We start from the raw sequence: 26,467 nt of genomic DNA on the forward strand, positions 1-26,467 counted from the left end.
ATTGCTGTATCCTTCTCTCACTCTGAGACGCCCTGGCTGCCATGTTGTGAGCTGCCCTATAGAAAAGTCCACGTAACAAAGAACTGATGTTACAGGCCAAGAGAGAGATAAAACCCGAGGCCTGTCTCAACCCATGTGAGAGAGCTTACATGTCAACTCTCTCCCTTGCGGAATCTTGGAATGACTACAGTCCCACCAGACATCTTCCTTGTAGCCCAACAAGAGAACCTGACCGAGCACACCCAACTAAGGTGCATCTGGATTCCTCACCCAAAGAAACTGTGAAATAAGGTTTGCTGTTTTAAACTGCTAAATGTTGAGGTAATTTGTTACATGACAGTAGATAACTAGTACAACTGCTGACAGTATAGCAAAGTGAGTCAGATGTGCTGTGTAAGTTCTAAGAATATACAACTTGAGAATAAAAATCATTTACAGGGTTGAACTTAGACTTTGTATTCTGAAGAACAGTTGTTTTCCCCATGGATATTTTTGGTTATTTCCCCTTCTCAATGGTATTTATTCCAAGGTTTACACTGCAATGCCATTTTTTTAACAAAAAAAAAATTGTTAAATAAAATGGTCAGACAAAAGGCTAAATAATTCATGCTATAATTCACAATTGTATAGCAACAAAGAATCACATTCCAATGTATAAGCCTTAGTCCTTCATAACTTTTTAACCTCATTTTTTTAATCTATGAATTAGGGATAAGATTACAACTCTAGAAAATCAAATAATAAAAGTGCAAATCCTCTAAGATTTTAAGTTATATTAATAGCAACTATCCTTTACTGACTCTCCATAATATACACAGAACTGTATTATAATCTTCACTTACATTAGCTGATTCGATACTTTTCCCAACAACTTTGATACACAATTTACATATCCTGAAATTCACAAATTATAACTGTGTAATTCAATAATGTTTGGTAAATTTATAAAGTTCTATAGCCATCACTACAATCCAGTTTTAGAACATTTCCATTACTCCAAAAAAAGTTGTTTTGTGCCAGTTCACAAATAATCCCCAATCCCCTAGCTTGAGGTAACCACTGATCTGCTGTCTTTAGAGATTTGCCTTTTCTGGTCATTTTATATGCATAGAATTATATAAGATACAGTCTTCTGCATCTGGCTTCCTTCACTTAGCACAGGGGTTGGGATTTTTTCTCTGTTAACACATAATAAATATTTTCACGTTTGCAGTTTATACATCTCTGTTGCAAATACTCATCTGTGCTGCTGTAGCAAAGCAGTCATAGACAACACATAAACAAATAGACACAGCCAGGTTTACACAAGCCATGCCATAATTTGCCAACTTGTAACTCAGATTGCTGAATATATTAATATAGTCCATTGTATGCGCATACTGCATTTTATTTAAACATTCACCAGTTGTTGGACATTTGAATACTTTCCAGTTTGGGACTACTATAAAAACTGCTACTATGAACATCTTTGCCTAGATATTGCATTCATTCCTGTTGGGTAAATTCCTAGGAGTGGAACTGCTGGACCATATAGGAAATTTAACTTTTTAAAGAAGTTACAAATGGCTGGGTGTGGTGGCTCATGCCTGTAATCACAGCCCTTTGTGTGGCCGAGACAAGAGGATAACTTGAAGCCAGGAGTTCAAGACCAGCCTGGACAACACAGTAGAGACCCTGTCTCTACCAAAAAACAAAAAAAAAAAAAGGAAGTTACAAACTGTTTTTCCAAAACAACTACACCATATTACATTCCCAATAGCAGCATTCAAAGATTCTAGTTTCTCTATATACATGGCAGCACCTGGGTATTGTCTGTGTTTCTTATTACAGCCTGTTACAGACTGAATGTTGGTGTCCCCGTAAAATCCATGTGTTGAAACCCTAACTCCCAATGTGATAGTATTTGGAGGTGGGGTCTTTGGGGGGTAATTAGGATTAAATGAAGCCACAAGGTAGGATCCCATCATGGGACTGGTGTCCTTAGAAGAAGAGGAAGAGAGACCAGAGTTCAATCTCTGTCTCTGCCATGCAAGGACGCAGCAAGAAGGTGGCCATCTACAAGCAAGGAAAAGGGTCTCCGCCAGGACTGAAGTTGTTGAGACCTTCAACTTGGACTTCCTAGCTTCCAGAATTGTGAGAAATAAATGTTTATTGATTAGGTCACCCAGTATGTGGTATTTTGTTAGAGAAGCCCAAACTGACTATAAGACAGATTTTGGTACTGAGAAGTGGGCTGCTGTCCTAACACATATCTAAAAATATGGAGGTCGCTTTGGAACATGCCACTGGACAATTTTTTTTTTAAGTAATGTTATAAAATAGCAAAGAACTTGGGAACTGTGTTCTAGTGTTTTGTGGAAGGCAAAGTTTGCCAGTGATGAAACTGAATATTTAGCTAAGGAGATTCCTAAGCAAAGTGTTGAAGAAGTGGCTTGATTCCTCCTGACTGCTTAGAATAAAAAGAAAAAAGAAAAAAAAAAAAGGAATTGTTAAGCAAAATGAGCCAGAACTTGAAGATCTGGAAAATTCTCAGCCTATCCACATTGCAAAAAAAAATGGAAAAGCTTGTTTTGAAGAGAACACTAAGGGTGTATTTGATAATTAGATTAGTGAAGATATGAACCAAGAAGAACCTAATCAGCCATCCCAGCAGAAACACTGCCAGTTTGAACTGAAGGGGAGGAAGATGGGATGAAATGAAGGAAGGTTGATAGGCTTCTTGGATCCTACAGGACCAGATCACAAACTTGTTTGGCTATGAAAATGTACTACTCTACAAGACATAAAAAGAATGTCCCCAAAGGTGATTAAGAGATCAAGGCTGCATCCTCATTTCAAAGGGGGTGGGAGGGGATTGTCTAGGTTTCAACATGTCAGAGAATAGCTGCCTTGAAGCCTTGTGGGTACAACTCCTACCCATCAGAGCCTTGAGGTTTAACACTGCCCCGCAGAATGGTAGAGGCAGGACCATCACCACAGTGGGTCCTGAAGGCATAGGGTCAAACCAAAGAAGACTGTTTTTGAGCTATCTTATAATTCTAATAGTATCTGCATTGCTAGGTTTTTTACTTTATTGAAACGCTTTTTTCCTTCTGAATTTTCCCTTAGAATGTCTATCCTATACCTGTACTGCCATTATATTTTAAAAGCAAATAACTTATCTGGTTTTAGAGGTTCACAGTCAGAGAAGAATTATGACTCAGGATAAATTTTACTTGTGGTCACACACATATCTGATTTAGAAAATATTTAGACGAGACTTTGTACTTTAGAGTTGATGCTGCAACAAACTTAACACTCTTGGGGCTGTTAGGATGGAATAAACGTATTTTGCATAGGAAATGGACATGGATTCTGGGCTGCCAGGAGTGGAATGTTATGCAGTAAGTTTGTCCCCCCAGAATTCATATGTTGAAGCCCTAACGCCAATGTGATAGTACTTGGAGATGAGGCCTTTGGGAGGTAATTAGGTTCAGATGAGGGCATGATGTTAGGGCCCCTGTGATGGCATTAGTGTCCTTATAAGAAGAGAAAGAGACCAGAGTACATGCGCTAGATCGTTACCTCACTCTCTCTCTCTCTCTCTCTCTATGCCATGTGAGGACACTGCGAGAAGGCAGCTAGCTATCTATAAGCATGGAAGAAGGCCTTCATTACAAACCAAATCTGCTGGCTCCAGAACTATGAGAAATACATGTTCGTTAAGACTCCCACTCTATATTTTGTTATAGCAGCCTTAACTAATAAGACAGCATTCTAGTTGATGTGCTGGTATATCTCATTGAAAACGTAATTTACATTTCCCTAATCATTAATGATGTTGAAGATCTTTCTATGGGTTTTTAAGCCATTCATAAATCTTCCCTGATTAAATGCCTGTTCAAATTTTTGCTTATTTTTTAATTGAATGGTTTTATTAATGATTGGTAAGATACATTTTGAATATAAGCCCTTTATGATTTATACATGATTTACAAATATGTTTGGCTTGTCTGTGGTTTATAATTATTTTTGTTTTAATTGTGTCTTTTGAAAGACAAAGATTTAATATTGATGAAGTATAACTTATTAAGGTTTCTCCTATGAATCATGCTTTTGGTGCCATATCTAAGAACTCTTTTTCTAACTTAAGGTCACCAAGATTGTATTCCTTAATTTCTTTTCTTTTTTTTTTTTTTAATTTGAGATGGAGTCTTGCTGTGTGACCCAGGCTGGAGTGCAGTGGTGAGATCTTGGCTTACTGCAACCTCTGCCTCCTGGGTTCAAGAGATTCTCCTGCCTCAGCCTCCCCACATAGCTGAGATTACAGGAGCCTGCCACCACGCCCAGCTAATTTTTGTATTTTTAGTAGAGACAGGGTTTCACCATGTTGGCCAGGCTGGTCTTGAACTCCTGACCTCAAGTGATCTGCCAGCCAGGGCCTCCCCAAGTGCTGGGATTACAGGAGTGAGCCATTGTGCCCCCCTCCCTTAATTTCTTCTAAAAGTATTATACTTTTACAGCTTAGGTCTATGATTGATTTTTGAGTATGGTGTAAGGTAAGGCTCAAAAAAAATCATTTTTTGCATATAATAGTCCAACTTTCCCAGCAAAAATTTTTTTAATTGAATGGAATTAAACTGAATTGGCACAGCTGTTGAAAATCAATTGACCATGAATATAAAGGTTTATTTTTGGACTCTGAATTTTATTCCATTGCTCTATATGTCTGACCATCTGCAATACTATATAGTCTTGTTTACTGAGTTTTATATTATGTTTTGAGATCTGAGGATGTAATTCTCTGATGTCATTTTTCTTTTCCAAAATGTTTTTTGGCTACTGTAAATCCTGTTGACTTCCACGTAAATTTTAGGATTGGCTTGTCAGTTTTTCAAAAATATTTTTAAAAGTCTGTGTGACTTTAATAGAGGCTGCATTCAACTTATAGGTCAGTTTGAGAGAAAACTGACATAATTGCATCTTTACAGCATTGTGTTTTCAACCCCATAATATGGAATTGTTTATTTAAATCTTCTTTAGTTTCTATCAGCAATTTTTCTGTAGTTTTCAGTGTAGAAATCTTATGCTTTTTTGTTAAATGTGAAGTACTTTTTTCACCCTTTTTGATGGTTTCTGATTGGAATTGCTTTTCTCAGTTCATCTGAATTGTCTGTTTCTAGTTTTCATATCAATCTTATACTTGTGATTCTGCTAACATTACTCACTGGTTGTATTTGTCCATATATAGGTTCCCTGAAATTTTCTACCTATAGAATCTTATATCACCTGTGAAAGTAAGACAGTAATAATTCTTCTTTTCCAGTTTGGATGTATTTACTTAAGTAAATATTTAAATAACTAAATAATAAAAATTAATATTTAAGTAAATTTATTCATTTAATTATTTATTTATTTATTTAGACTTATCACACTGGCTAGAATCACTAGTACAATGTTAAATAGCAGTGTTGAGAGCAGACATAGTTATCTTGCTCCTAATCTCAGAAGAAAAGTATTCAGTCTTTCACCACTAAGTATAATGTAGCTGTAGGCTTTTCATAGATGTCCTTTGTCAGCTTGGGAAGTTCTCCTCTGTAACTATTTTGCTGATAATTTTTAATCAATGATCGATACTGGAATTTTTTTTGCATCTATTGAGATGATCATTCATTTCTGTCCTATGTATGCTAACATGTATGTTAAGTAAAGTAATTTCTGGATATTAAAGCAACCTTACATTTCTGGGATGAATTCACTTTTGTCATACTATGTAATTCTTTTTATATGACACTGGATTCAGTTTCCTAAAATTTTAAGAATTCTGTGTCTACATTCATGAGGGATATTAGTCCACAGTTTCCCTTTCTTGTGATGTCTTAATATGATTTTGGTATGAAGGAAATAATGGCCTCAAGTGAGTTGGGAAGTGTTCCTTCATCCTCTATTTCCTAAAAAGGTTGATAAAGGATTGGTATAATTTCTATTTATAATACATAAATAGAAATTGGTATAATTTCTTATTTAAATATATAATTGGTATAATTATTTAAATACATAATATGTGAAATTCTTCACATATTTCTTGTGTGAAGAAATCTAGGTATGGGGTTCTCTTTGTGGGAATATTTTAAATAAATAATTCAACTTCTATGCTTGCTACAGTGCTATTTCTTCTTAAATCAGTTATGGTAATTGATTCAATTGGAAAATTGTCTAGGAATTTATCCACTTCATCTAATTTATTGGTATAAAGTTACTCAACATTCCTTTGTAATTCTTTTAATTTCTGCAAAGTTGGTAATGCCACTTCTTTCATTCCTTATTTTGATAATTTATATCCTTTTTCTCTCTCTCCCTCTTTCCCAATGCCCTAAGTCTGGCTAAAGATTTGCTGATTTCTTTTTTTTCAAAGAACCTACTTTGGTTTGAATTTTCTTTATTGTTTTTCTGTTTTCTATTTCATTGATGTCTGCTCTAACCTTTATTTTTCTTCTGCTTGTTTAAAGTTCAGTTTGCTCTTCTTTTTCTGTTTTCCTAAGGTAGAAGTTTAGGTAGTTGAGAATTCTTTTTTAAAAGAGGGATTTAAAGCTGCAAATTATCCTCTGAGCTCTGCTTGAGCTATATCCCGTAAATTTTGATATGTTACATTTTTATTTTCATTCTGTTCAAAATATTCTCCAATCTACCTTGTGATTTCATCTTGATCCATGGGTTATTTAGAAGTATGTGGTTTAAATGCCAAATACTTGTGGATTGCCAAGATTTTTTTCCATTGCTGGTTTCTAATTTAATTACATTATGATTGGAAAATGCACTTTGTATGATTTTTAATCCTTTTAAATTTACTGATAATTATTTTATAACCTATCATATAGTCTATACTGAAGAATGTTCTCCATGTGCTTTAAGTCAATTGTGTTCTGCATCCATTGGGATACAATTTTCTACATTTTTAAGTTCATCAGTATTGTTGTTTACATCTTCTCAACCTTCACTGATTTTCTAACTGTTCTATCAGAAAACAATTATTTCCTAACCAGTAAAGAGTTGGTTACTCAAATTTGCAACTAATATTGGTGAATTATCTATTTTGCCTATCAATTCTGCCCATTTTGAATTTGTGTATTTTAAAGCTCTGTTAATAGGTGCATACAGAATTATAATTTTTCTGTCATTTTAATGATTAACCATTTTATCATTATGAAATGTCCGTTGTCTTAAAGTCTATTTTATTTGATATTAATATAGTCATTTCAGCTGTCAGAATTACTATTTGCATGACATCTTTTACTAACCTTTTCTTTAACCATATACTATTTGTGTCCCTGAATCTAAGGTGTTTCTCTTATAGACAACACGTTGACGAATCTTCATTTGTTGATCCACTATGACAATCTCATTTGATTGGGGGTATTTAGACTACTTACACATAATATAACAATTATTGATATGGCTGTAATTACATTTGCCATTTTATACTTTATTATGTCTTTTTTGTTGTTCCAGGCTTCTCCTTTACTACCTTATTTTGTATTAAAAGTTAGTTTCTACATTACCAATTCCTGACTTATTTTATAGATATTTATAGATACATAAAATAAGTATATTTTTGAGTCATTTTCTTAGTGGTTGCTATAGGAATTATACTACATACCTTAATTTATCACAATTTACCTTCAATTAATATTCACACAATACAGGCAAAATATATATTTTTTAAAAACTTGCTCCAAAATAGCTCTAATACTTCTTTTTCTTTGTGCCATTCCCATCATATATTTTATGTCTATATATTATAAACCCTAAACCCAACATTTACAGTGTTATAATTATTACTTTATACAATCTTAAATCTTTTACAAAGATAAGAAAAGGAGAAAAAATATAGTGCCTTTATATTAAACATTAACCATTATAATTTCTGATTTCTTTCTTCCTATGAATTTGGTTTACTGCCTAGTGTCATTTCCTTTTATCCTTAAAGACTTCCTTTAGCATTCTTGTAAGAAAGGGATTCTTGCAATGAATTTTCTCAGGTTTTATCTTGGAATGTCCTATTCCACCTTCATTTTTAGTGGATTTTAGAGGACACAGAAATCTTTATTTTTTTTTTCTTTTCATTTTAGTGCCCTCTGGTGTCCACTATTTCACATTAGAAGTTAGTCACTAATCATAAAGATGCTGTTATGTAATTTTTTGGCTGCTTTTAAATTTTTGTCTTTGGCTTTGGCTTTTAATAATTTAACAATGATTTGTCCAGGTCTGTATCTCTGCTTTTCCTACTTGGGCTTCACTGAGCTTCTTAGATGGGTAGATTGCTTTTTGGCCATAATTTCTTCAAACTTTTTTTCCTGCCCTCTTCTTTCTCTTTTCATTCTGAGATTCCCATCACACATACATAGGTAAACTTGATGCTGACCCACAGATCTCTGTGGCTCTACTGATTTCTCTTTAATCTTTCCTCTCTGATCTTCAGATTAGATCATCTACCTTTGAAATTCACTGCTTCTTTCTTCTGTCATGTCAAACCTCTGGTAAGACCCTCTAGTAAATTTTTCACATCAGTTACTATATTCTTCAATCTCAGAATTTTCATTTTGTTATTTTTAAAATCATTTCTATCTCCTTTTTGAACATCTCTATTTGTCACACTTTATTTTCATTCTTAGCTTACTTTGCTGCTTTAAACTGATTTACAATAGCTGCTTTGAAGTCTTTGTCTGCTAAATCTAACATCTAGAAATACTGTTTCCACTATATGCTGTTTTCCTTAGCATTGTTCATGTTTTCCTATTTCTTTGCATATTTTATAATTTTATTGAAACTGGACATGTTAGACAATATGTTGTAGCAACTCTGTATTACGCTTTTTGCTCCTGAAGGTTGCCTCTTTAATTCCTTTGTTCACTTATTTGGCAGGGTTAAGTCTATAAAATCTGTTTTCCACAAGTGTGCAACTGCTGATGTGTCTATTTTTTTTAACGATTTTTTTAGTGTTTTTTTTTTTTAATTTTTATCCCAGCTCAAAAAAATATATATTTATTTAAATTACTGTTTTTAAGCCTGGCTTCCTAGGGATTGCTCCTGTGTCTATATAGCTTAATAATCAGACAATAACCAGAAATAAACTTTGCTCAAACAACTCAAGCCAATAAGACTTCCAGCCCTTCCTTGCCAATGAACCTGCATATTGGTAGGAGAGTGTATTAAAAGTTCAGGCCAATTGCCCCTGGCTTTTCCTTTCTGGTCTCCTACACACGTGTAGAGCCTCTAGGGCAGCCAGGAGTACATGACTAGGTTGGGCCCTCTCCAGTCTCCAATACACATGTATGCAGCTTCAGCCAGACATATGCTTGTCCCAATTATGACCACAATCCCATGCTAGTAGAATCCTGGGTCCTCTCCGCTCACCTGACTCCAAGATTGTCACTTCCATAAACAATAGCACTAGAAGTGAGCACCACCCAACTGAGTGAGTCCCCTTCTGATACAGCAGTACAGCTGTAGGTCCTCCCTGGACCCACCCTGCCCTGGCAGATCTTCTGCAATAACCAAGCTGGAAGTTGGGGGTAGGGAAACATAACAGCCCTAGGCTAAAATACAAGAAACTACCACTGTCCCTTAGCAGTTTTTAAGTATAAACACTTCTCAGACTGTTGTATGTCTTTCATTGATTGCTAAAGAACTGAAGCTGTTGTTTTCTGTTCAGTTTTGTCCAACTTCATATTTGTTTTCTGGTGAGAGAATCTGCCAATTTTCAAACTTGGCCATGGCTGAAATCCCACCCCACTCACTCAATCTTAACAACACGGAAGTACACATTATTCTCTCTCATTAACAAAGTAAGAAATTCAAGTGAGTTTCCCTAAATTACATAGAAAATAAAAAATTCATGAATTTCACAAATATTTGAGTACCTACTATGTGCCAATATCTGTTCTTTGTGCTTAAAACACATCAAGGACCAAAAGAGATAAAGATTCCTGCCCTAGCACAGTATAAATTCTAGCAGGAGGATACAAACAATAAACATAACTAAAACTATATAATGCATCAGAATGTAATTAAAGGCTGTAAAGAAAAAAAATAGACTAGGATAAAATGAGCCAGAGATTGAAGGTAGGCCTCATTCACAGGTAACATGTAAGCAAAGATTTAAAGGCTAAAGGAGTTAAATTAGTCAAGTAAATAACTGGAAGAAAAGCATTCTAAGCAAAGGGAACATAAAGCAAAGGGTCTAAGGTAGGAGTGAAACTGAAATGTTCAAGGAACATTAATAACAACATTAATATAACAGTGATGGAGAGATGTACTAGTTATCTACTACCATGTAAGAGGCTACTCAAAACTTAGTGGTTTAAAAAAACATTTACTGACAGATTCTATGAGTCAAGAATATGAGCACAGTTTAGCTGGGTCCCCAAGCTCAGAATTTCTCCCAAGGCTGCAATCAAGATGTTAGCCAATGCAGCAGTTATCCCAAGGCTTGACTGGGGAAGAACCTGCTTCCAGGTTCACTCACTGCGTTTTTGGCAGGATTCAGTTCCTCACTAGCTGTTGGCTGGAGGCCGCTATCAGTTCCTTGCTATGTGGGCCTCTCCATAAGGCAGTACACAAACTGGCAGCTTGGTTAATATGAGCAAGCAAGAGAAAAAGCCAAGGAGTATGAGCAAGACAAAGTCACTGTCTTCTACCTAATCTCAGAAGTGACATCCCATCAGCATCATTTTAGCCACATTCTCTTTGGCAGACGCAAATCTCTAGGTCCAGCACACACTCAAAAGGAGGGAATTACATAAGGGCATGAATATTAGGAGGTGGACAGCACTGTGGGCCATCATGAGAGTTTGCCTAGCACAGCAAAATAGTAGATGAGAACAAAGAAGTTTGTGGGGTGGGGAAGAATGTCAGATCACATAAGGCCCTGCAGGCTTCAGTAATGACTTCGTCATTTCCTCTGAATTACATGGGAAGCTACTTCAGGGTTTTGAGCAGATAAGGAAAAGACGTATCATATTTTTAAAGAATCACTCTGACTGCTATATTGTCAGTAAAACAAGGGTGGAAAAGACAGACTTCTGTGATAACCCCAAAAGAGACAATGGTGTCTTAGACAGGATTATAGCTAGAAAAAAAAAAGGTAGTGAGAAGTGGTCAGATTCTAGATAAATTTTGAAAATCAAGCACAAGGGAATTTTCTGCCATATTTGACTCAAAATGTGAAAAAGTAAAGATTCAAGGATGACTCTAAGGTTTTCAGCCTGAGAAACTCTATCCTTCTTGTTGCTATCCACAAGAAAAAAAACCTACTGTATGACAGATTAAAGGTCAGTTGCTTTAGAAATGTTAAATTTGAGATGTCTTTGATTTTTTGGTAGAGTTCTGTAACGGTTGGACATAGGATTGTGAAGTTCCAGAGAGGTCTGCACAAAGATTCGAAACTGGGAATTGGGCATATAGGTGATATTTAGAAGGAAGCAATGGTATAAAATCACCAAAGGATTAACTGAAACAGAACAGGTTCAAGGATTAACCCGTGGGACATACAAATATTTTAAAAGGTCAGAAGAAAGAGAACGAACCAACAAAGGAAACTCAAAAGGCACAACCAAGAACATAAGAAGAAAAAACAAGAACATATGTCTCAATCTCCAAAATCTGGAGTGTGAAGGAAGGTTTATGATATTAATGTGACAAATCATCAGTTCATTTAGAGACAAAAAGTACAAGTCACACTAGTTATAAGTCCAAGAGATCACTTGCTTTCTTAGTATTTCCAACTGGAAACAAATTCTTACGCTACTAGGTCTCTAGAGATTATCTAGATAATCTCTTGAGCAAACTTAACAGAAACCACTTAGAAAACATCCCCTTTAATTAAGAATACTTTCTTTTAAAAAGGGGGAAAAGGGGCAGGAGACAGGACAGAACTGTATCTTATCAAACAAGATTTTGTAAAAAGGATTTTGAATCAAACAAATCTAAAAATTAGTCTCAGTCTTTCTATCTTGTCTGGAAAAGCACTGAAATATATTATTAGAGATGTTTTCAAAACAATAGTGTCAAGAAAATTGAAATTTGATGAGATACTAGTCAGTTCTTTCAATATTAACTTTCCTATATCATTGCACTAACAGAGAAAATTTCTCTTGTTCTCTTATCTGATTTGAATAAACAGCAGTAAATAACACCTATTTAGCACTAATCACATGTCTCACACTCCTAACCTTACGAAGTAGGTACTACTTTATCACCATTTCACAGGTGGAGAAATCACAAAGAAGTCAACTTCAAAGGTCTCATGTACTCTTCTCAAGTTAGATTCTAGGAGTTGTAAACCCTACTATGATTTGAATGTGTCCCTCAAAGTTCATGATCACTACCCAATATGGTAGTTTTGGGAGGTAGGGCCTAATGGGAGGTATTTGGGTAGCAAGGGTGACTGCTCATGTGTGGATTAATGTCACTATCATCTGAGTGGGTTCATTATAAAAGGATGTGTGTGCCTCCATTGCCCTTCTGCCATGGGATGACAGCAGGAAGGCCCTTACCAAATGCCAGTTCCTTCATCTTGAACTTCCCAGCCTCCAGAACTATGAGCCAATAAATTTCTGTTCCTTACAAATTACCAAGTTTTGAGTATTCTACTTTAACAGCACAAAACACACTAAGATAAACCTAAGTTCAAAATACATAAAAAAGTTTCCAGATACAAATTATCAGCACCTAATCAATAGGGAATGAAGAGAAACTTCCAAAAAACTCTCTTAGGTGCTCTAAAAGTATGGCATAGAAACTGGAACTGAAAAGCTTCCCGGTCCATCTTATTCTCCCTTAGTTCCATAACTTAATTCATCTAAATATGTGTATACTTTGACTCACTCCTATTTTTACTACAAAATTGTTTTAACAGCAAAAAAAAATTTTATTAAACACCTAATAAACTGGGATTTTTCTATGAACATCCATACAATGGAAAACAATGCAGTAAAAATCTTTTAAATGTACATATATAATATCTTCTTAACAGCTGCATTTGAAAAGACCAAATATTGTCAACAACCCCATTTTTCATCAACACTAGCATGGATAAACTACGGTATGTTAATATAGTAATAAGAATCAACAGAGTACTGTTGCCTGCATCAATATAGATGTTTCAAATATAATGTTACACACTGAAGAAGCCAAACACAAAACATTATGAACTATATGATTCAATTTACATCTACACACAAGATGATAGCCTGAAAACTAGTGTCAAGAGAAGAAAGTCTATGTGGATGATATGGTTTGGCTCTGCGTCCCCACTTAAATCTCATCTTGAATTGTAATAATCCCCATGTGTCATGGGAGGGACCCAGTGGAAAGTAATGGAATCATGGGGACGGGTATTTCCCATGCTGTTCTCATGACAGTGATTAAGTCTCACGAGATCTGATGGTTTTACATAAAGGGGAGTTCCCCTGCACATGCTCTTGCCTGCCACCATGTTAGATGTGACTTTGCTCCTCCTCGCCTTCCACCATGATTATGAAGCCTCCCCAGCCATGTGGAACTGTGAGCCCATTAAACCTCTTTTTCTTTATAAATTACCCAGTCTTGGGTATGTCTTTATCAGCAGTGGGAGAACAGGCTAATAACATGAGGAATTGATAGGCCAGTTACAGAAGAACTGAACAAAAATAGCCTCAAATAATTCCTGCTTAGGGTTTGGGATAGTTTTAATTCATTTACCCCCGCCTTTCATTAATTTCTTTTACATGAATTTCCTTTTACTTAATGTTTTTTCTCACTTCTTACTTTTGCATGCATGCAGGGGTTGTAGAAATAGGGAGAGGCCAAATATAAAGATAAAAATAAATTTGAAATAAAAACAAATTAGATAAAAGGCTAAAACACAGACAACATAAGGGATAAAAGGACTGCAAAGCAGGCTTAAATATGAAATTAAACAGAACTCAGAAGTCACTGCTAAGCCTGCATAGCAGGTCTAAATACAAAATTAAACAAAACTCAGAACTCAAAACTCACACGAGGGCAGTTTTATAAAAGAAAAGAGTAGGCTGAGTGTGGTGGCTTATGCCTGTAATCCCAACCCTTTGAGAGGCCAAGGTGGGAGTACTGCTTGAGCCCAAGGAGTTCAAGTTTACAATGAGCTATGATCACGCCACCGCACTCCTGCCCAAAATACAGTGAGATGGAAGGAAGGAAGGAAGGAAGGAAGGAAGGAAGGAAGGAAGGGAGGGAGGGAGGGAGGGAGGGAGGGAGGGAGGGAGGGAGGGAGGGAAGGAAGGAAAAGATGAAGAACTAAATAAAACATTCAAAAGAAATAAAAGGTACAAATCCTTAAAGTTTCTGGGGCGGGCATAACCTTCCCAGATGAGGGAGTCACCTGATCAGAGTCCTTAGGTGTGCAGGGAATAGGATGAAAATGAACAACTTTACCCTCTCATACTTCAACAAGCTCCAGAAAACTGAATCTGCTTTGTAAGTAGCTTCAGTTAATGAGGATTATTAATAACTAATCAACAGCTGGGGAGTGCTCACAAGGAGAAGCAGCAGGCAGCCTGATTTCTGCCAGCTTCTCAGAACAAAACACCCCAAATTCCATTAATATAACAGAAGATCCTTAAAAATGTGGTTTCCAGACCCTAGGATTTGCAGAGATCCTCTCAGGGTATTCACAACATCAAAACTGTTTGCATAATGATACTAAGATATTATGTGCCTTTCCACTATGTTTACAGTTAAACTAATGGTGCAAAAACAACAGTGGATAAAACTGCTGCCCCTTTACAGGAATCAAGATAGTAGACTCAAATTACACTAGAAGTCATTGTATTCTTCAGGGAGGAGGGAGATTTGAGCCTTTTATTCACAAAAGTCCCTTTTGAAGCAGTAAAAATTCTAGTGTCCACATTTGCATATATATCCTTTTAATATTCTGTGTGACAGGAAATACACATAAACCATGCTGTACTTGTGTCTCACAACATCTCAATTTTGTCTGCGCTCTTTGAGTTGTGAGCTACAGTAGCCACTTTTTTTTCAAAGAACATCATTTTTACTTGAAAGAACAACTGACAGATAAGCAATGGTTATCCAGACTTGATTATTAGACAGGCTTTCTCAAAAATGAACAGTGAGACTATCACTCCAAAGGAAATAAGTGACAGTATTTGTCACCAATGATAAAACTGAAGCTTTCAAGAGAAAATTAGAATGTTGGAAAACTTGAATCTATCTTTGAGTTTTACAGCATCTCAATATATACTTTTCTGATAAGAATAATGGCAATATTAACAAATGTGGTTTTTTCAATGTATAATGATATGTGTCAACATTCAGAAGACCTATATTATTCACTGAACAAATATTTTCCAAATGAATAAGGCATAATGTCAACTGTCTTATTTGGCATTTGACAAATGGACAAAAGATCCATTCAAAGTGCAAATGGGCCAATAGATTTCAATGTCATGGAGTATGAAAAAGCAGTGAGACTATAAATTTGAATCAGTAGTTTAAAAGTAGTTAACACTCCTAAACAATTTCATTGAGGAAGATGACTAAAACTTCTTTAGGAGTTTTAAGAGTTTAAACCTTTTTGATCAGTTTCTCCTCTATGGAAAACTAGCATCTAAACTAGCACCTAAACTGGTACCTAAGAAAACTTGACACATACAGAAAAAACCCTGCATTAGTAACTCTATGAAGGAAAATATGTATACAGTTTACTCAAAGTTATCATGAATTAGGCATCTAAACATTAATCTTAATATTCTAGAAAAGAGATTATCACATGATTTGTTAACAGAAAGCTCTTCTTTTGAAAACACACATGGAACCCGAACATAAAAGACAATTAAAGCATAAGTAGGTCCCATGGAGTCAATGCTTAGCCGCCTTATCCCTCAAACCTTTATCTCATTGCACATGCACGAGACATCTTTAGAAAAGCCACTGACTTAGGCCACTGGTTTCTAAACTTGGCTGTGCTAAAATCAGAATCAGTACCATTAGCTTTTTAGTAATAGATTCACAGGCTGCCTAACACAACAAAGTAAATTAGAATCTCTCGGGATACAATCTACCATTCTGTATTATTTAAAATGTCCCCAGTGGGCAGGTGCAGTGGCTCACGTCTGTAATCCCAGCACTTTGAGACGGGCAGATCGCTTGAGGTCAGGAGTTCGAGACTAGTATGACCAACATGGCAAAACCCCATCTCTACTAAAAAATACAAAAATTAACTGAGCATGGTGGCGAACGCTTGTAATCGCAGCTACTCGGGAGGCCGAGGCAAGAGAATCACTTGAACCTGGGAGGCGAAGGTTGCAGTGAGCCAAAATTGTGCCACTGCACTCTAGCCTGGACAACAAAGGGAGGCTCCATCTCAAAAAAATTAAAAAAGGGGTCCGGGCACAATGAGTGGCTCCCATCTGTAATCCCAGCACTTTGGGAGGCTGAGGCGGGAGGATCACCTGAGGTCAGGAGTTTGAGACCAGCCTGGCCAACATGGTGAAACTTTGTCTCTACTAAAAATACAAAAAATTATCCGGGCGTGATGACATGTGCCTATAATCCCAGCTACTAGGGAGGGTGAGGCAGGAGAACTGCTTGAACCCAGGAGGTGGAGGTTGCAGTGAGCCGAGACTGCACTTCAGCCTGCGCAACAGAGCAAGACTCTGTTGCAAAAAAAAAAAAAAAAGAGGCCCCAGATGATTTCTGAAGCTGCTCTTGGGAGTTCAGTGCTGCTAATCCTTCTTATAAGTAACATCCCCAGTACTATTTATCAAAAGGCAGCTCACTTAACAGTAAGAAGCTACAGCTGAGGAAATAAGAACTACTTTGGGCTATGCCATTTACTGACAAACTGATCTTCAACATCTCTCCACATCAATATCTTCATCTGTGAAAGGTAGAAAATACAAAAAAAAAAAGGGGGAGAGAGGGCATTCATGAAAACTAGATAAGATTTTGAATGTAAAAGTCTTACACAGTGCCTAGCAAGGTTAGATCATGAAAATATGTTGATATATTAAGAGGGATAGGAAGGATTAGACAAACTTAGCCTCTGACAGAAGAGATGGATAAAAACTGTGTTTTCTGTTTGAACTCTGTATAGTCCTCAAAATCCAGGAGAAGACAAATTAGATGTTTCCTATTAGGGCAGTTAGATAGTATCTAGCATTTGAAAAGAAACAGCTGAGCTTCAGGATAGTAACTACCTTCGAAGCTACGGAATCCTTTCAGGGTCCTAGCTGTAGGTCACCTCTGGGTCAGAGCCAAAGGCCTATTAGCCATAGCTGAGATGGAGATGACTAATATTATACCACTAACCATTCATATTATCCAATTAAATTTTCTTGTTTTGATTCCATGGTCATAAAACAAATTTTTCAATTCATAATCTGGCTTTTTAAACAAATTTTTTTCCTAGATCACTGTCTCAACTATCCTATTCAAAGCAATTATATTTCTCACTATAAATTAAGTTCTATAGGAAATCAAGCCTTAAGTCCCAAGACATCTACTGTTTGTAATGATTAACTTATCACACAGGCATTTAAAATGATACTAAGGGCACATTATCCTTGAGTGGATTGAGGACACACCATCTTTGGGAGGACTAAGAAAAATACTTACAAAATTCTTTTCTGTGGGCTTAATTCTCTCCATGGAACAAACTGAAAAAGCCTGCATGAATTAACATTCCAGTTTACAAGTCTTTTGCGAACTTAATTACAAAGGATTAGTCCAATGGCCTCTAGGTTCAACGATAAGATACAGTTCACAGACCTTGACTTCACTAACGTATAAACTGGCTTATCTCAACATATGTTCTACAGAATCACTACACTTTAGTGTCATACAGGTGACAGACCTCCCCCCCTAAAACTTTGTGTAGAAGTATTTATATTCTATTTATACTAAAAAGGCAACATTCTACTTAATATAGCTCCATTTCAAAACTTTTAATAGGTCAAAATTGTATTTTATTATATTTAATATATTCATCAGAAATAATAAATTATATTTTGAAATTTCATAAATACTAAAATCTACCCGAAAGAAATAAAATTTCATGGGGCCTACAGATTTTAGATTAGGATAAAGGCAAAGGAGCAAAGCAGCTGAATTAAAATTCAATGGGGCAGGGCACGGTGCCTCACGCCTGTAATCCCAGCACTTCGGAAGGCCAGGATGGGCGGATCACTAGGTCAGGAGTTAAAGACCAGCCTGGCCAACATGGTGAAACCCTGTCTCTGCTAAAAATACAAAAATTAGCTGGGCGTGATGGTGTGTGCCTGTAATCCCAGCTACTCGGGAGGCTGAGGCAGGAGAATCGCTTGAACCCATGAGGCGGAGGCTGCAGTGAGCCGAGACTGTGCCACTGCACTCCAGCCTGGGCAACAGGGCGAGACTCAGTCTCAAAAAAAAAAAAAAAACAATTCAATGGAACTCGAAAACATATCCCATCCATAGAAACTTTTGTAGATTTTTTTCAGTTTCCCATTTAATGTCCTACTGAAATCTTACTCAGAATCTTTATTGCTGAAAAAAATGACATCCTTCTCCTAACTCAACAATTACACTTTTTTTTATAAAACACAAGTTTCATGTTTATTCAAAGAGAAAATTCTGGAAACATTTAGCTTTTGTATTATTATAAAGCTTTTATAATCTAATACTGAGAATGATGTTTGAGGGAGGGAAGGAGGAGGAGCCAAGCAACCATAAGTCTGGGATTAAAATGACTCTGTGGAGAGTAAAGTTGATAGTACAAATTCCCCAGAGACTGCAGTCTACTAATGGCAATACTTAGAAAAAATTTTTAGAAAATTGAAATTTAAAATCAAAAAAACAGGAGTGGGAAATTGGTAATGATAAAAGGAGAGGTGAGATTTAAAGTAACTTGACTGAACTGCTACAAAGAAGTGTTACAAAGTGAATCTAAATGAAGCAAAGTAGGTTCAAGAAGTTTCAGGATTTTGAAAATGAATACATATTATTTATTCCTGTTGTAGAAAACAGAAATCTCATATGTGGTTTCAAAATTAAAAGTTTATATGTAGCTTTATATTGTAGGAGTTATTAAGAAATTATTGTAGGCAGATAGAGAGGAAAACGGTCCTTAGGAAGTTTTCATCTTTTAAAGCATCTCCAGAAAAGTTTAGGCAACCTTTGATATGCAAATGCAAGCCATTAGAAACTGGGTCCACCCAAACCTGGCAATACCAGCACTCTTCTTCTTGCCCTTGCCCCACATGTTCCTGGCGACATGGCCGTCCCCACATATCCCCACCTGTGTAGAAGATCATGGCACCCTGTATTGGCATATTAAAAGGCTAGGTGGGAGGGTCCTTTTTTTTTTTTTTTTTTTTTTTAACAGGCTATGTGGATGACATGCCTGGTCAAACCAATCCTGAGCCCTATGCAAATCAAACACTGGCACCTTCAGCCTCTTCATATACCTGACTGGTATCCGTGGCAGGTGGGGTTCCCTCTCTTGGTTTTGGAGCTCCCCTCCCTCTGTCTCTGTACAGGGGAGCTTATTTCTTTCTTCCCCCTTCTTTCTTGCCTACTAAACTCCCTGCTCCTTAAAACTACTCCATGTGTGTCCATGTCATTTTTTTCTAATTCGACCCAAGAGGAAGAACCTGGGGTTCTCCACTCATCGGAGTCGTATCAGTATTTTGGTTAGCAGTCCAAATAGGGAAAGAAACTGAAAGATACTTACTATAGTAACCGTATAATACAGTGTCCTCAATCTGTCTGCTGACATTAGCATTAGCCCAGTCCTAGGATAAAAGGAAACAATAGAAATATTAATGAAACACCCATTTGCCTAACAATTAAAAGTCAAGTTTTAATACGACTGAATATCACTTCCAAAATCTATCCACCCACATAAAAACAATCTATGTCTTCAATAAGTGAGAGACAGACAATAGACAAATTTCAGTATGTAAATGCTGAGATAAGACAACACAGTTCTGGGAAAACACAGACAAAAGGCACCTAACTCAGACTGAAGATGAGGAATGGCTTCTCAAAAATGACTAAACTGAGACCTGAAAGGAGGGAGAATGATCTCAGGGAAACAGAAAATAGTAGGAAGGAAAGAGGGAGTAAAGAACATACACAGAACGTTTGAAAAAAGCTTCAAGAAGCTAAATATAGATTAAATTGAGCTTTTGGAAAGGTAAGAGAAACCAGGTGGAGAGAGGGAAGAGAAGGACACATATGTCAGGGGCTTGTGAGTCATGCTGAGTACTTTGGACTTTGTCCTAAGGGCAATGGAAAATAGTGATGAATTTTATGCAGAGAGCAACAAACCTGATTAGTACTTCAGAAAGAACATATTTGAGCATATTATACATTTTTTTAAAAACCTACAGGAAAAATCAGTCTAATCTCCTTTGCATTCATCCCACACAAGGGTTGTTCGAATTACTAAGCTTAGAAAATATAATTCAAATTAATCTTTTCCAATAGAAAAAAAATCTATACCCTATTCTGTCAGAACTAAGGTACAATGTCAAGCCTTTTTGGCCTATACTCTAAATTCTGTGCATGTGAAAAATTAAACGTGGAGAATCTAAAGGACTTATCACTGCTATTAAGTATAAAGCAAAATTTAGAATCCAGGTCAGTGTTTTATAAACACTTAAAGAGCTCAAGTCAGTGTCAACATTCTATGAGTGCTCTTAAAAAAGGGCATCAATATTTAATTCTCTTAAGATAATTAAGGATTTTTCTTTTCTCTTTTTTTTGCCCATAAACACCTCTAGCAATGAGTAGCTATAAATTTGCTGATAAATGCCTAAAATATAAAAAAAGTAGAAAATCCAAACTTACTTCTACAAAGGCAAAACCTTGATATCCAAAGCACAATAAAAACAATATGTTCCCAATAGTAATAAGGAATAGTAACAAACCCTTAATAGGCCAAATAGAAACATTTATGTTAACCATATAAAAAATAAATCACAGGATATAACAAATTTAATAAATGGAAAGTCATCTGTTCCCACATTTAAAGATTGTAAATACCAACTGCCATCCAAATTAATCTTAAAATTAATATATATCACCAATCAAAATCCCATTGTGCTAGGAGGTAGAGTATATTAACATATTGATTCTAAAAATCATCTGACAAAACAAGCTAGGGCCAGAAATAAATTTGAAAAAGACCAACAAGAAGGAATTTCCCAATTACTATCCTTTACTAATAAAACGTGAAAATCCACTATTATATAACCTTTCACCTACCTATTGGCAAAATTTAAAACAATAACATCCAGTAATGCCAAAATGTGGAGGGAAAGCCATCTGCTACACAGTAAGATAGTCTACCATGTAGACATTCTTTATTGAATCGATCCTAAAAATATTCACACAAATTAGGATGGATATTAGTACATAGATAGTTTATTCATTGGACAATACTACTTGTCCAACAAATTACCTCAGGAGCTCTTACAAAGCGATAAGCTAGCCCAAATGGGCCCTTCCTTTCCCACACAGCAGGAGCTGTACCAAATTCCATCACTCATTGGACTAAGAGACCCAAAGTCTCCAGGTGTTCAGCAATTGTCCTAGCATTCAGTGAACTACTTGTACCTACTCAGCTCATATTCTTTGGCACCCAAGTCCAAGGTGTTTATTCTACCTGCAAGACCATTCTTAAGAGGCCAGGTGCGGTGGCTTACATCTGTAATCCCAGCACTCTAGAAGGCTGAGGCAGGTGGATTGCTTGAGGTCAGGAGTTTGAGGCCAGGCATTGTAGTACACACCTATAATCCCAGCTTCTTGGAAGGATGAGGAATGAGAATTGCTTTAACTTGGGAGGCAGAGGTTGCAGCGAGCCAAGATCATGCCACTACACTCTAGCCTGAGCAACAGAGCAAGACTCTGTCTCAAGAAACAAAAAAAAAAAGAGAGAGAGAGAGAAAAGACTAGGAGGTTATATGCCTCTACTAAAGCACCTGCACTGTGGGAGAGTTTCTCTCTTTGCCTAATGTAGTTACAAAAGAACCTGAGCACTTGCTGACCCTTGTCAGGGTAAATTAGACCCTGTACTAATTAACATTTATTGGTTTTGGGCCAAGAGTCCTTTACCCAACAATATTCGGTGTAGGGTCGTTTAAAATATTTTTTAAAAGAAAAATGAAACTGGAGACAATCTAAATGCCAGAATAGAAATAGTAAAATTTACTACTGTACATGCATAACATAGAATAACATGTTGACATTAAAAACAATGAGACCTATATAAACTAGCATAGATAAATATCTATGAAGTACTTTTGAGTAGGAGGAAACAGAACAAATCACAACCAAAAGTTTTAACACATGTAATCTTTGTCTAAAAAATGTAATGAAAGAAATACCCAAACATATTATAGAAAAAATGAAAAGAAAATGTAAGTAGCGCTTACCACACAGAATGGGAAAGCACTGGGGAGAATTCTGTGCAATGACTGAAAATTTTTTCATCAATGATTCAAGTATCCAAATGAATATGTACATAATCAAAGCTTCAACTCCTAAGAGCTGTGCTTCTTTAGTGATTACTTCTGTATCAAAACAGAAATTTAAAAGTATTTTTGTGGGTTTTGTTCTGTTTTTGAGACAGTGTCTCACTCTGTCACCCAGGCTGCAGTGCAGTGGCATGATCATGGCTCACTGCAACCTAGACCTTCCCAGGCTCAGGTGATCCTCCCACCTTCAGGCTTCCAAGTAGCTGGGACCACAGGTGCATGCCACCATGCCCAGCTAATTTTTGTATTTTTTGTAGAGACTGGGTTTCACCACGTTGCCCAGGCTGGTCTTGAACTCCTGGACTCAAGTGATCTGCCTGCCTCAGCCTCTAGGTTTACAGGTGTGAGCCACCATACCTGGACTAAAAGGATTTTGAAGATGAGCAAATTAAGAACAATGTATCAATGGGCCAGAGAATAATAACAACTATCTTTTTTTTACTTCTTATATGTTATACAAACTTCCCACCAATTTCCAAGACAGCCCCAGGAGGTAGTAATGTCTCCACTGAGAATCACTTAAAAATTAGTTTAAAATCAGACAAAATCCCAATCTCAAAAAAAAATATTAAAAATAAAAAGTCTGAAGGTTAACTTGAAGCAAAAGAATCATTGAAATTTAGCATCTTTTACTCTATAAGGATCTTTTGCCTAACCAGTTCTTGTGGCAACAGGAGTATTGCTGTTACTATTTTAAAGCTACAAATATGTGTAAGATATACAACATCACTCAAGTACTGTTAGTGTATTTGGCTTTTACATACTCTCTTGCCTCCAAGATACTTGATGTATTGTCAAGAGAGCTTAGTTTGTAAAACTTTCCTTCTAATTTTGGGAACCACTATGACCTTGATATGTTTTATAAACTATTGCCTCTCGAAGTAGAAACTAAAAGAAACTTCAGAGTCATTTAGGACACAAAAGAATGTGAGACAATCAAGAACTAAATAAAGAATATTAAAGAAGAATATTTCAGAAGACAAGGATATGAATTCCACAGAACAAGAATGTAATTGGTCGCATATGTAAATTCCATTCCCCATTTTTCAAGTTGACTTTTGAAACCTGCTGCATAACCCAAAACTCCAAAATGATTCTCCTCACTTTTACCTGATAACTTCACCATAAAAATGGTGGTTCTCATTCAGGAGCCATTTTGATCCCCATGGGGCATTTGACAATGTCCGGAGACATGGTGGACAGAGTCAGTATACTACAGGAATCTAGGAGGTAAGAGGTCAAGGACGCCACTAAACACCTACAATTCACAGGGCAGGCCCCCATAACAAAGAATTATCCAAGGCAAAATGTCCATGATTGAGAAATACTGACTTAGAGGTCTCTAAAATAATTTGCAGCCCCAAGACAGGAGCTCACTCAACTTACTATTAAATCTAAAACATATCTCCATTTGTATCCAAATTCTAGACCTTCTTTCCTCTGAAATACCCACACTCCTATTACACCCAACCCTTTCACTTTCACTCACCCTTCTGGAGGAAACTGCACCTGCAATACCTTCTCTCCCCTCAAAAATTTCTCTCACTGTACTGAATTCTAAAGTATACAAATTCTAGTAACTATTAAACACAAAGAGATACACAAACACCACAAATAAAAACACCTCCATTAACCCACTTCTCACTTTCGTAGAGAACAAAAACTTCCTGAAAAGTTGTCAGCATTCCTTATCACTTCTTCCTTACTTCTCTGTCCATATCTAACCCACTCAACCTAACCACCCTACTGTTCTGCTGAAATTATTCTTCATGGTCACCACTGACCAAAGCCACCAGTCACTTCTCTACCCCATTCACTTCACCTCTCAACACCACTGAAAAAAGCTATCATTCTTTCTTCCTGAAACACATTATTCTGATTTCCATAAAGCCTCCCTCTTCTGTTTTTCTTATCTCTCAGGTTGCAGATTCTCCCCTTCAGCTGACCTTCTACACGATAGAGAACTCCAGTCCTCGGTCCAGTGTCAAGGCTTCTCTGACTACTCAGTCTTCCCAGCTGCTAGTCAGTCCATAACTGTAGATATCATCCATATGTTGCTTCCCAAATACTTCTCTCCAGCCCTAAGCTCTTCACAGAGCTTCAACTCCCTACTTAACACCTCCACCTGGATAGATAGTACAGTACACACTTTAAAGGTAGCCTGTCCGAACTATAACTCTTTTCTCTACACCCCCTCACTTGCCCATGCACATGCCCTCTTATTCCTCTAAGTTTCCCTATTTCTCTAAGGTATACAAAAACCTAGGCATCAGTGCTCCAATTTTCTTTTTCTTTCACCTGTCCCCCTATATCTAATCTATCAGCAGATCCCAGCAGCTCTACCTCTAAAATACATGCCAATTTTAATCATTTTTCTCTACTAGCACCACTCTAGCCCAAGTCACCTTTATCTTTTACCTTCATTAACTTCATATTGCAGTTAGGAGAAAATCTAAACTTATTAATATGACTTAAAAGTCATGAACAGTCTGGCTCCTGCCTTATTCTGGATCTCAGCTTTTACCAAAGCAAAACCCTCAACAATACATGTCAGCCAAATAAGCCAAGTTCATCCTGGCCTAAAGGCCTCTATATTTGCTGCTGCTTCTCCCTAAAGGCTCTCTCCCTCTGGCTCTTTACTAGATTGGCTCCTCATCCAGGTATCATGGCAAGAAACCTCAGCAGTTTTGCCTTCCTATCCCCCTCTCCAAAACACTCATAACCTGACTAGACTCTCATATCAATCTATTTCCTCATAGAATTTATCACTATAAAGTTACCTTATCTTATTTGTTGATTATTGATCTGGCCTTGCAGACTAAGCTCCATGAGAAAAGCAACCTCATTTGCCTTAATGATTAATCTCCAGTACCTACAATTGTCAGGCACATACTATATATTTAGTAAATATTAAGTAAATAAACATATTTAAGGTTCAATAAAGAGCACAAAGTTCTAAGATACAGTTCCCACCATTTGAAAATAGGAATGAGGGAGCAGTAGAGTTTAGCCCAGACATCTAATAACAGTCCATAAAGATATTCATAATTAGGGAACAGGAGTAAGATATGAACAAACACCAAAACATTAAATGTTTTCATGACATACCTTAATATTAACTAATTTTTTTATTTTTACATGTTGTGTAAAAGAAAGAATATTTATTCATATTAGTGTCGATTTCTTTTTTTTTTTACTATTGGATCAGTATATTTCATGTATATCCCCATCCAATGTTACTGGCCAACTATCAAAGACTGTTAAAGACAGCACTTCCAGCTGTACTCTAAAAGGTTCTCTTCTGTTATCTAAAAAGTTAATTACTTTAGAAAAGAAGCTAGAAACAAATTATCTAGCTAAAATTATTAATAATGCCATATGCTGAAAGAAAGGTCAACAGAAACAACTCAGGCATTATAATATACCCCTGCCATAAGAAGGCAGAGAAAGCTAGAAGGGTAACTAAAACAAAAATAAAGAAACTAGCAATGACTGCCTGCTCACAGAAAAGCCTGGGCACCTTCTGTTTTTAAGAAAAATGTTAGCAATCATTAATATGTAGAGTTTCCAAATAATTATACCTTAGAAGACAAGTCCATAATTAGAGAGAGGCTTCAAAATATTTGAGGTGGAAGTAGAGAAAGTTAGAGAATGTATATATTCATTTAGGAATTTCAAATGCACACTGTAAATATTATTATACATTAGCATTCATCATGGAAAACAATGTCAACTTGTACATTCATCTTTACAAACAAGGTTGGAATAGACCAAAACCACGTTGGCATCCTTTTTACTCTGACTACATTTACAATCGTGGCATGAAGTTTGAAGAATTAATTCTTAAATACTTAAACTTATCTTTCACTAGGCACCTGAATTCAGTAATAACTTTAGGAAAAACTACTGTCTAGAGTTTATCAGGAAAA

General features: G+C 36.3%; 1 protein-coding gene across 4 annotated transcripts in view; it reads right to left on the reverse strand.

The window, feature by feature from the left end:
• LMBRD1 (LMBR1 domain containing 1) overlaps positions 1–26,467 on the reverse strand; it is a 123,001-nt gene that overhangs the window by 86,755 nt on the left and 9,779 nt on the right. For all 4 annotated transcript variants that reach the window (NM_018368.4, NM_001367272.1, NM_001367271.1 and 1 more), the window contains exon 3: positions 19,730–19,790. In NM_018368.4, coding sequence (NP_060838.3) covers positions 19,730–19,790 — 61 coding nt within the window. The remainder of the gene's footprint in view (positions 1–19,729; positions 19,791–26,467) is intronic.

This window comes from Homo sapiens, chromosome 6 (genome assembly GCF_000001405.40).
Source record: "Homo sapiens chromosome 6, GRCh38.p14 Primary Assembly".
NCBI lineage: Eukaryota > Metazoa > Chordata > Mammalia > Primates > Hominidae > Homo > Homo sapiens.